Source organism: Homo sapiens, chromosome 7, assembly GCF_000001405.40.
Source record: "Homo sapiens chromosome 7, GRCh38.p14 Primary Assembly".
In the NCBI taxonomy this organism is placed as follows: domain Eukaryota; kingdom Metazoa; phylum Chordata; class Mammalia; order Primates; family Hominidae; genus Homo; species Homo sapiens.
In genome coordinates this window covers 34,949,622-34,962,467 of record NC_000007.14, presented here as the reverse complement: position 1 = coordinate 34,962,467, position 12,846 = coordinate 34,949,622, and the positions used below count along the sequence as shown (strand labels likewise).

The 12,846-nt window shown below is 33.6% G+C and overlaps 1 protein-coding gene across 3 annotated transcripts in view; it reads left to right on the top strand.

Annotated features, from left to right (window-relative positions):
- Window positions 1-12,846, top strand: part of DPY19L1 (dpy-19 like C-mannosyltransferase 1) — a 109,161-nt gene that overhangs the window by 75,574 nt on the left and 20,741 nt on the right. For 2 of the 3 annotated variants that reach the window (NM_015283.2, NM_001366673.1), the window contains exons 11-14: window positions 4,398-4,484; window positions 7,101-7,160; window positions 7,690-7,770; window positions 12,570-12,671. In NM_015283.2, the coding sequence (NP_056098.1) occupies window positions 4,398-4,484; window positions 7,101-7,160; window positions 7,690-7,770; window positions 12,570-12,671 (330 nt within the window). The remainder of the gene's footprint in view (window positions 1-4,397; window positions 4,485-7,100; window positions 7,161-7,689; window positions 7,771-12,569; window positions 12,672-12,846) is intronic. The other variant, XM_011515246.4, reaches the window with a different exon arrangement.

Below are 12,846 nucleotides of genomic sequence, written 5' to 3'. Positions count from 1 at the left end.
GCTCCACCTATTCATCCCTCCTTCCCCCTAACCCATGGCAGCCGCTGATCTTTTTACTGTTTCCATAGTTTTGCCTTTTGTATAGTGTCATGTGTTTGGAACCATACAGTATGTAGCCTTTTCGTATTGGCTTCTTTCACTTAGTAAAAAGCAAATAAGTTTCCTCCAAGTCTTTTCATGGCTTGATAGCTCATTTAGATCTTGATTATTATTAACATTTTATTAACATTATATGGATGTACCACTGTTTATTTATTTGCCTATTGAATAACTTGTTGGTTAACTCCAAGTTTGGGCAATTATGAATAAAGCTGCCGTAAACATCTGTATGCAGGTTTTTACATGGATGTTTCAGTTCATTTGAGTAAATACCAAGGAAAGTGATATTTGGATGGTATGGTGAGAGTATGCTTAGTTTTTAGGAAATTGCCAAACTGTCTTCCAAAGTGGCCATACCATTTTGCATTACCACCAGCAATAAATGAGAGTTCCTGCTGCTCCACATCCTTGTCAGCATTTGGTGGTGTCACTGTGGATTTTGGGCATCCAGTAGATGTGTAATGGTATCTCATTGTTTTAATTTGGTTGAACATCTTTTAATATACTTTTTTTTGCCATCTGTGTATCTTTTTTGGTGAAGTGTCTATTAAGATCTTTTGCTTATTTTTCCTTGGGTTGTTCATTTCCTTATTGTCGAGTTTTAAGAATTCTTTGTATATTTTTGATAACAGTCCCTTATCAGATGTGTCTTTTGCAGATATCTTCTCTCAATCATTGTCCTGTCTTTCACAGAGCAGAAGTTTTTAATTTTAATGAAGTTCAGCTTATCAATTGTTTCTTTCATAAATTGTACCTTTGTTCTTTTATCTAAGAAGTCATCACCATACCTAAGGTCATCTAGGTTTCCTCCAATGTTATCTTCTAGGAGCTTTATAGTTTTGCAGTGTGCATTTAGATCTGTTGTCTGTTTTGAGTTAGTTTTCATGAAGGGTGTAAAGTCTTATGTCTAGATTTATTTTTTTGTATGTGGATCTCTAGTTGTTCCAGCACCGTTTGTGGAAAGGACTATTTTTGCTCCACAGTATTGCCTTTGCTCCTTGGTCAAATATCAGTTGACTATATATGTGAGTCTATTTCTGGGCTCTGTATTTTGTTCCCTTGATCTGTTTGTGTCTTCTTTCACCAATATCACACTGTCTTGATTACAGTAACTTTATAGCAAGTCTTGAAGTGGGGTAGTGTCAGTCCTCTGACTTTGCTCTTCTTTGGTATTGAGTTGGCTCTATACTGGGTTGTTTATATCTCCATATAAACTTCAGAATCACTTTATTGGTAACTTGCTAGGCTCATTATTGGGATTGTGCTGAATCAAGTTGGGAAGAACTGACATCCCTTCAATATGGAATCTTCCTGTACATGGAATAACACTTCATGTATTTATAAAGTTCTTTGATTAGTTTCATTGAAGTTTTGTAGTTTTGCTCAGATAGGTTTTTTACGTAGTTAAATTTGTATCTAAGTGCCTCATTCCAGGAATGCAGGAATGTGTTGATAATAGAAATTCTATTAATATGATTTATCACATTAGGAAGTTTAAAAAATCCATAATAATTGCCTTTGATATTATAAAGGTATATGATAAAAGTCAACATCTATTTTTGGTGTTTAAGACCATAATCAAGTAAAAATAGACGGATATTTCATTGAAATTTAAGATACCCACACCTCAAAAGAAAAACTAGTATCACATAAAATGATGAAGCCATAGAACAATTTCCTATTTCCATTAATGCCAGAAGCATGGTAAATATGCCTACTGCCTCTCTCATTACTTAACATTATTGCAGAAATGTCAGCTAATACAATTGACTGAAAAATAATTCAAAGGAAAATGTAAAAATATCATTGTTTGTAGTTGATATCATTTTGAATACTTGAGAAATCCAAATAAACTACTACTGGAAACAATGAAATCATATTCATTGATGCATATTTAATATAATTTTTCTGTATACAAACAATCAAAATATGAAGATTCTTGATAAAACAGCAGCAAAAATAATATGCTTTAGAATAAACTCAAGAAAATATGCAGGAATCTATACAAAGAAAACTATACTTGCTAATGCATGTAAAAGAAGATTTAAAGAAATGGAAGGAACATGTATTGCTTTGGGATCTGAAGATTTGATGTTGAACAGATATAACTATAAATAACACGTTATTGAATAAAGTAATTTTAATTAAAATTTTAGTTTTTGAAGCTTAATAAGTTGATTCTGAAATTCACATGGAAATTGATATATATGGATCAAAAATAAAACTTCTAGAATATGGATTATTTTATTTTTAGTGCCTTTTAAATGACAGATAAATCCAAAGACCTAAAGGAAATGAAAGATAAATTTGCTAACATAAAGATTTAGAAAATAACCATAATACAAAAAATACTACAGAGGTCAAAAATGAACTGAGAAAAATATTTACAATATGTTTACTTGATAAGGGGCTAGGTTCTTTTATATATATATATATATATATAAATATATATATATATATATATATATATTTATATACAAATAAACATATATATTAAAATATATATATATACTTTAAGTTCTGGAGTATATGTGCAGCAAGTGGAGTTTTGTTACATAGGTATACACGTGTCATGGTGGTTTGCTGCACCCATCAACCCGTCATCTACATTAGGTATTTCTCCTAATGCTATCCCTCCCCTAGCCCCCCAGCCCCCAACAGTCCCTGATGTGTGATGTTCCCCTCCCTGTGTCCATGTGTTCTCATTGTTCAACTGACAGTTATGAGTGAGGACATGCAGTGTTTGGTTTTCTGTTCCTGTGTTAGTTTGCTGACAGTTATGGCTTCCAGCTTCATCTATGTCCCTGCAAAGGACATGAACTCATCCTTTTTTATAGCTGCATAGTATTCCATGGTGTATATGTGCCACATTTTCTTTATCCAGACTATCATTGACAGGCATTTGGGTTTGTTCCAAGTCTTTGCTATTGTGAACAGTGCTGCAATAAACATATGTGTGCATGTGTCTTTATAGTAGAATGATTTATAATCCTTTGAGTATGTACCCAGCAATGGGATTGCTGGGTCAAATGGTATTTCTAGTTCTAGATCCTTGAGGAATTGTCACACTATCTTCCACAATAGTTGAACTAATTTATACTCCCACCAGCACTGTAAAAGCGTTCCTATTTCTCCACATCATCTACAGCATCTTTGTCTCCTGACTTTTTAATGATCGCCATTCTAACTGGCATGAGATGTTATCTCATTGTGGTTTTGATTTGCATTTCTCTGATGACCAATTATGATGAGCTTTTTTTTCATATGTTTGTTGGCTGCATAAATGTCTTCTTTTGAGAAGTGTCTGTTCATATCCTTCACCCACTTTTTGATGGTTTTTTTTTTCTTGTAAATTTGTTTAAGTTCTTTGTAGATTCTGGATATTGGGGCTATGTTCTGTAATATATGAAGAGAGCTGTTAAGGAAAATAATGAAATCCCAGTAGACAGATGGGCAGTGGGAATAAGCAGTTCACACATACACACAAGACAACATAACCAGCAAATAGAATAAAAGGTGCTGTGTCTCATCTACTATTAAAAGAATGGAAAAGTGAAACAATGAGGTAACATTTTTTCCCTACTGGATTGGCAAATATTTAAAAGAATAATACAGTGTTGCCAGAATATATATCCATAGGAACTCTCCTGCCCAGTTGGTGGGAAAGTGAATTGCCACAATCTTTTTGTAGGCCAATTTGTCAATATTTGTATTGAATTTAAAAATGTGTATATCCTTGATCCATCAATTTCACTTCTAGTAATTTATTCATAAATGTACTGACATGCACATAAGGTATACACATAAGGATGTCTATCATAGCAGTGTTTGTATTGGGAAGATCCAAACAAAACAAAATAGAAGTGGAAAGCACTTAAGTGTTTCGCAGTATTCGGAGGACTAGTTAAATAAATTAGGATACATCTATAGAATAGAATACTTTTACCAGTTCTTAAGCAGAATGTATTAGATTGGCTTGCATGTGTATGGAAAGCTCTCTGAAACATATTACGAATAAAAGCAAGAAATAGTACAGCTTGTGGGGTAAGTGTCCATTTGTGGTTTTACAAAATATATAAACTAGAATTTATACATGTTGTCTGGAAGGATAAACAGGAAACTGTTGATGATGGTTATCTCTGGGAGTTTGAAGTGTGAGATGGAGAATGGGCTGTTTTATAGTCCCTTTTCAACAGTTTGAATTTTGTTTATTATGGGCATGTGCAGTTTTCACAATAAAAAACAAAGGTTTTTTGTTTTATGTGCATTACTTATATTTTTTTCTTGGATTTTTCCAGATTTCTCTTGCACTTTGTTTTGTTTTGATGTTTGGGAACTCAATGTTATTAACTTCTTATTATGCTTCTTCTTTGGTAATTATTTGGGTAAGTATTCCTTAACACTTATATGGCTGTTTTTGAAACTAATGGTTTAACAATTTTTTCTTCACTGGCTTAGGATTCATCAGGGTTTTCTGTAGGAACCATCTTAAGTGTCTTACTGAATATTCTAGATGTATGGTGTTCAAGTACTCAATTCTAAAACAGGGAAAAAAAAAACAAGGAAAAATTAGTATCATTTCAGAAAAGTTTCTATGCTTTCTTCTCCCTTCCTCCTTTGCATTTTTAATCCTACTCCTGCTCCACTTTTTGAACCCCTTTCCTCTCATTGCAATCTTGTAACAGCCACCCCTCTTCATTCCACTGTGCTCAGAAGATCAAGGCCTTGGTTACTTTTTCTTCTGTTTTTTGTTTTGTTTTGTTTTTCTTGTTTTGTTTTTTGCCCCTTGTCTACTTGTATGGACTATTCAGATGGTTTAAGTAAGGTGATGATTCAGTTTTATTTTGCTAAATCACTACCAAGAACAACTTTAGATTATGGAGAGATTATTTTACAGAATTAGAACAAATTGATGGAAGGTCATCTAATTCTTTCTGCTACATATGGCAGGATGACTTTGTTTTTTTGTTTGTTTGTTTTGTTTTGTTTTTTTAAGGTGGAGTTTCACTCTTGTTGCCTACGCTGGAGTGCAATGGCGCAATCTTGGCTCACTCCGCCTCCCAGGTTCAAGCGTTTCTCCTGCCTCAGCCTTCCAAGTAGCTGCGATTACAGGCATGTGCCACCATGCCCGGCTAGTTTTGTATTTTTAGTAGAGACGGGGTTTCTCCATGTTGGTCAGGCTGGTCTCTAACTCCTGACCTCAGGTGATCTGCCCACCTCGGCCTCCCAAAGTGCTGGGATTACAGGCGTGAGCCACCATGCCCGGCTGGCAGGATGACTTTGTAAGTCTAAAAGTCTTCTGAAATTTTAAGACTGCCTTATTTTTGGTGGATTTCCATTAAAATGTTTTGCAGACTTGTTATTCCTTATGTTTAAAGTACATGTGCTTTAGTTTCCCTGTGACTTTAAAAGCGTATTGCACTGTCGTAATTGGAATATATTCGACTTCTTGAGTAATTAAGTTACTCAGATCATTTGGGGTTTCTTAATTTCTAGAACCCATTACATTTGAAACCTCCATTTTCATTTATTTTACAAATGATATTTATTTAAAAACCCATTTTTCGGCCAGGCGCAGTGGCTCACGCCTCTAATCCCAGCACTTTGGGAGGCTGAGGCAGGTGGATCACGAGGTCAGGAGATCGAGACCATCCTGGCTAACAAGGTGAAATCCCATCTCTACTGAAAATACAAAAAATTAGCCGGGCATGGTGGCGGGCGCCTGTAGTCCCAGCTACTCAGGAGGCTGAGGCAGAATGGCATGAACCCAGGAGGCGGAGCTTGCAGTGAGCTGAGATCGCGCCACTACACTCCAGCATGGGCAACAGAGCGAGACTCCATTTCAAAAAAAAAAAAAAATACCCATTTCTCAAAAATATGCCTCTTCCCAGTGTGGGCCGCCACCCTTTTCAGGTTGTGCCTTGAGTATACTTAGCTACAGAAATTAGCAATTAGCATGATGCTATATTTTCAACAACAACAACAAGAAAAATCATAACTTTGGGATTAATAAGTATAGTTCTTCAGTTCTGTGTTCTCTGTTTATTATTAGGAAAGGTGACAAAGTACTCAGTTGTATATTTTACATATGTATTTTCTCATGTACTGCTATCACCCAGGATAAAGTATATGAATCTTGGTACTATGGACAGGGAAACCATTGAATCGAATATTACATACAAATAAAATCTAATTTAAGTACATTTTGTAGGAAATTTCTTTTCAGTTCTATATGTCAGGTATGCTGCTAGATGCTTCACACTGAGGTGTGCCTTAGGTACGAATTAAGCATATTTATGTATATTCCATATATTTTGGTGTATAAAAATAAATGATAACAGGGAATACAGCATGTTTGTGCATATTTAACTATAAACACACATTTGCATATATTTATAATTTCACTTTGAAACCTGAATTGTATCACATTTTGTATTCTCAGGTATTTAGAAACTTCCAAAAAGATTTAATTTGGTTTGAAGTATTTATGTTTTGATCTCTAATCATATTTTTGCCATGTTTGAAGTAGTTTTAGCTCCCCAAGGGTAATACAGTTTGGAAGCATTACCACCTGAAAATACTTCAGAGAAGTATTTAGTTGATCCATTAACATTTCATTTGCTGTTTACCCTAAGAGTCAGTAATTTTTAGCTAAAGGAAAATCTTATGCCTGTATGACTACTGTCCAAAATTCTGAAAATGTTATATACCTCATGGCTCAGAGATAAATCAGATATGTCAAATCAGTCATAGACATTTACATATGGTGATTCCTTTTTCAACTTTAAAAAGTCACGCATTCACCTAATTGACTTTGGATAATAGGGCTATACCTTGAAGTCACTGACTCTAGAAATGAGCATGTGGATGGTATGTGGAAAGTCAACCATGTGCTAAATTTTAGATACTTGAGAATCTTATTATTTAGAAGAATTTTTTGGTACTTGAATTTATGTCTATAAGTATTAACTGTGTATACTATGTTATTTTTCTCTACTCAGGGTATTCTGGCAATGAAACCACATTTCCTGAAAATAAATGTATCTGAACTTAGTTTATGGGTGAGAATCAATCTATTTTAATGCTTATGTTTTTTCTTCTCTAAAATATATCATTGGTTTTATGTTTTACTTTTAAGAAAATGATCTATGCAACTCAGGGGATCCAACAGTTTTATAGTATTTTAGGGCTCAGTTTTAATGTACCAAATTGCCCTTTTTATGAAACAAGTTAAAGTTAATCCTGGGTATGTAGTTTAAAAATTCCAGTTTTATTTATTACTCATGTTTCATCTGAGAAACAGTGCATGTATAAGAAACTGTTAAAGGGAATTTAACTGCAGTGGTTGTGTAAATCTTCTATAAAATATATTAATTTTGATAAGATTGTATGATTATATTTTTATTTTTAGTTACTGTCCCTTGATTTTGAGCAACATGCTTGATTTTAAATTGAGATGCATTTTCTAGCATTTTCTCTTGTAGATAGTAATATGTATTTCATGTATGATTAAAGCATTTATTTTTTTCTTCCTAGCCTATGTCTGTGGAATATGAAGCATCAAAGTTATTTTTGTTTTCTTTTGTTTAGGTTATTCAAGGATGTTTTTGGTTATTTGGAACTGTCATACTTAAATACTTGACATCTAAAATTTTTGGTATTGCAGATGACGTAAGTGCATTTTTTACTTAAATTTGAAAGACTTGAAAAGAATCGAATAGGCTAAGAATAAATTGAGTTATTCAAGTATCACTATTAAATGAAATTCTAGGATGAAGTCTGTTCACCTATTATTTTATTTAATATAATAGAAAGTAAATGTAATTGTATATAGATTTTCGTTCTCCAAAATTAGTTTCTTAATCTCTTTTTTTATTGGTCCTTCTATGTCACTAAAATTTTAACGCAGGAAAACTGTAGATAATAGATTAAAGATCGAATTTTAAGCTCTATACAGTCATTTTTCTCTAGCTTCTTTGTAACTGGTAAAGACACCATCTTTAGAGCCTTAATTGGAGATCGTATTATAGTCTCATTCTTTTTTCTCTCCAGTTTTCAAGTCATTACTTGTAAAAGGCTTTTATAAGCCTTTATAGATAATGTAATCCAAGTGAGTCTTATTTAGAGAAGATTTTTGTTTATTTTTGGTATTAGGGTAGAAGGGAAGATAAAATGGAGAAGTCTGTCTTATAATTTTAAAGATTCTCTCTGTCCATAATTGCTTTGCCTATTTTATTTTGGTGTTTTAATCAGCACATCCTAAGTCAGGAGGCTATCAAAGATTTAATTTAAAAAAGCAGCACAAGAACCAACATGGAAAAAATAAACTATTTTTTTCCTATAGTGTATTTTTATTGGTGATTTTCTTCTTTCTGTACTAGATTAATGCTATGGTTTTGAAACTGGGTTATGTGAAGTCCTAGGACTTCCCAGGAATCTTCCCTGAGGGCTGTCTACTCCCCTGTCTCCTAGCCTCTCTTTTACCCAGGGCAGTTTAACCTCAATCTCTTTCATACAGGTTTTCATAAGAACAAGGGTTATTTTTGCTTAAAAGATTGAAAACACATGGACCATTAAATGGTTGGTCTACAATCTGTGGAAAGATTTTTAAAACTATAAAACTATAGTTGAAAATGTATTTATTCATTCATTCATTCATTCAGTACCTCCTGTGTGCCTGACAGTGGAAAGTATGCTAGAGATACCAAACTGAGTAAGGTATGGTCTAGCGGAAAATTCGGAAAATAGGAACAATTCCTAGCAGTTACAATACAGTGTAATAAAGGCTATGATAAAAAATGACGTACAGAGTGCTGCAGGAATACACAGGAGGAGCATCAGGGAAGGATCCTGGAAGTCAGCTCTGAGGATGAGAGCTGAAAGGTGGGTAAGTCAGCCAATATGCAGAGCGTGATCAGGAAGACAAGTGAAATAACCCTAGTCCTGCGTTTATAGAATCTGTTTTACTCACTGGGGGAACATGAACCAGTTAAGGTATTAATTCAGGTTAAAGCTATTATTGTCATTTTCTGTCATAGCCTAAAATTATGCAGGGCCAAAAAAGATGCTATAAACTATGTTATTTGCAAATTAGAAATAACTTAGTTGTAACTTTAGTATTTTTAGAAATACGTAACGTTGATTAAGGGCATTGGCTCATAAATTCTTAATTTTGACATTGGTTAAAGGAAGATAGTGGCAAGGCTACCCAGCCTTTTATTTCCTACTGAGTTCTCTACTTTTACTGATAGTGCCTCTGAGCGTAGGTTTTTAGCTGTCCGCCCCAAATCAGGTCAGCCTGTTCCAGTAGTACAGGTTCTTTTTATGAGTAGCCACACTCGGTCCTGCCCCCTTCAAAAGAACTGTTGGACTAACAGTATGGGGGAGATGGGGGTGGTGCTGAGGTGGATGGGAGCAACCTAGGTAAAAATGCCACAGACTCCCACTGTTTTTACCCACAGTTTCTCAGTTTTTTATGAATGAATGCTTCCCACATTGTTGCTTCCTTTTGGTTAATCTCTAGAACCTGATATGAGTGTTTTTTTTATAATTTTGTCCAATTTTAAAGTGGTTTTGGAGAATGGGAGTTACCAGTTTCTTCACTCTGCCGTATTTGGAAGTTGACACATTTTTTTGATATATGAGTGTTGATCTAGTTTGTATCCTGGGATAAACCTCACCTGCTCAAATGTAGTATTTCTTTTCTATATTGTTGGATTTGGTTGGCTAATATTTTTAAGGTGTTTTTCGTCTATTACTCATGAGGAATATTTGTTGTAGTTTTCTTGTAATGATTTTGTCTGGTTTTGGTTTCAGGGTAATGTCATCTCCTAAAATTATTTGCAAGTGTCCTGTCTCCTGTTTTCAGAAAGATTTTTATGTAGAATTGGTATTATCTCTTCCTTAAATGTTTGGTAGAATTTAACAGTGAAGCCCTCATGGCCTGGAGCTTTCTTTATGGGTAGGTTTTTTACTACAAATTCAATTTCATTAGGAAGCTCTCCAGTTCATCTGGAGTGAACTTTGGTAGTTTTATGTTCTTAGAGGAATTTTTCCCATTTTATATATGTCATCAAATGGATAATGCTTTTTAAATTTAGTCAGTTAAAATTCTTATTGGAATTTTTGTGTATATGCATATTTGGGAAGTGATCTTTTTGTTCTTTGGTTGACTTCTCCTTATTTGGATTTGGAATTAATATTGGTCTTCTATTAAGAGCTGTTGTGGGTTTTTTTTTTGTGGTCTTTTTTTTTATTTTTCCTACTTTCTGGCAACTTAGGAAAGTTTTTTTTTTTTTTTGAAAGTTTAGTAATTCAATGTTAACCATCTCAGTCTAGGGCTTTTTGGGAGGGAAAATACTTGATTTCTATTTCAGATATTTGAATGCTTTTTGTTCTATTCAAGTTTTCTATTTCTTTTTGTGCCAGTGTTGGTGTTTTATGATTTTCCAGAAATGTATCCATTTTACCTAGGTTTTACAATTTATTAGCAAATTGTGTAGCCTATTCTTCTTACTATGTTGAGTCCATAGTTATTTCTCCCTTTTTCATTTTGCTTTTTGTTTGCATCATTTATTTCCTTCATTAGATTTGCTCTAGAGGTCTATTGTTTTAATATTTTTAAAGTTATATCTTTTTTTAGTCCTCTTTGGTTTTATTGTGTTTCTCTTTGTCACCAATTCCTGTCCTCATTCTTATTCTTACTTCTTTTTGTTTCCTGTCTTCTGATGCCCAAGGGAAATACTTAGCTCTGTTGTTTTTACCTCTCTTATTTTCTGATCAATGCTTTTAAAGCTAAAATTTTCTTTGTAAGTATGTAGTACTCTTTTATGTATCTTATAGATTGTCTATTTGTGATTTTTTAAAAGGTTAAGTTTTATGATATTTAACTTCTAATCAAGAATTTTTAAAGCAATTTCTAGGTATTTTCTAGTTGTATTGCATTTATAATCAAATATATACATATTTTTGGAATTTATTGTTACATGGTATGTGAATATTCAAAAATATTTCACTTGTGTTCAAGGATAATGTGTATTCTCTTTGTGAAGTTTATATTTTCTGTTTGTGAGCTAATTGATTGTATTCACCTTTTATGTTAACTTTTGTCAGCTTTTTTATTCAAGGAGGCAGTGTTTAACATTTGCAATGAACACTGTCAACTTTTCTATTTCTTCCTTTAGTTTTTGTCAGTTCTTATTCTGTGTACTTTGAATCCATATTTTTAACTGCAGATATGTTGGCAATATGTATAATCTTGCTTTTTTGTTAATTTTACTAGCATATAATATTTATTGTCTCTTTTCATATATTTTTTGCTTAAATTCAGTTTTGTGAGACATTATAATTGCTAACAGATTTCTTTGTTTTAAACTTACCTGGTATATCTTCTTCCATTCTTCTGTTTTCAACCTTTCAGCATACTTTTAAGTATTTCTTTTGGTGACAATATAATATTAGATTTTTTCCCTTAAGTCCAATTTAAGCATCTGTCCCTTAATTAGTGAATTTATGCTCTTTACATATATGGTAATTGTCATAATACTAGGACTTATTTCTTTCATTTTGTTTGGGATTTGTTTTCTTATGCTATTTTAGGTGCTGTATATTCTTCCTATTGATTTCTTATGCTTATCAGCATACATTTCTTCTCCCAACAAGACATAGTATTTTGAAATGCTTCATCACATACCTGCCACCATCTAGTTCCTACTCTTACCCTGTTCCTTCTGCTTCATGTAGATATCATATAGAATTTTAGTCATGGTTTGTCCTAGATATAATTTCTCCTCTTTTCTTTGGTTGTTGCTTTTTTAGACTATAATGAACTTGAACATTTGGCAAATGTTTTATGTCTTTGTGCCCTAGTTTTCTTATTTATAAAGTGAAAATCCACCTTCCTCACATGGCTTTTTGTGGGAGGTAAATGTGGCAGTGTGAGTGAGAATCCTTGATAACATGTGAATAATTATATGAGAGGTGATTATCAGTCAAGAAGTACCTTTTATTCCAGTACCTGCCCATTTCTACTTCACTCAAGTACTCTTTTCAATCTCCTTTTCAGAATTCGTATTTCTTTTTCTTTACCCCATAGTCCTTTGTGCTTTTATGATTAAAAGAAGTCTGTGTGTGTTCCCAAGCCCAGAGCTGCTGGTAGGCTCCAGCAAGGGAGATGCTGTGCGGCCTGTTTCACCAGGTTTAGCACAGTAAGCTGGGAAAACCCAAGGGAAAAAGCCTTTGGGATGTCGATGAGTGTGGAAGGTAGGGTGTCATTGGAGCTATCACTATTCAGCAAAAGAAGGGAACTGTGAAGGTGGAGGATATAGCATTTCCTTCTTTAACAAAAGCAGGCTTGGTGTGGGAACAGTGGGCTCTATAATGTAATGAAAACTATTTTCAGATACTATTGAAATTAAAATATATTATTGCAGTGTATGGCTTAATATAATGGTAACTTTATTTCTTACCAGGCTCATATTGGCAACTTACTAACATCAAAATTCTTTAGTTATAAGGATTTTGATACTTTATTGTATACCTGTGCAGCGGAGTTTGACTTTATGGAAAAAGAGGTAAGATGTGATTTCTAGTTCTGTTTCCTAAGGTTTTGGCCCATACATTTTTCATAAGGAGTGCTCCTCTTATATCAGACTCTTTATGTGCTGTTATCTCAGTTTGAAGGAAAAGGAAAATCTGGCAGCTTAGAGGAAGATTTTTCTGTTTACTTTAGTGCAGCTCCCTGAAATA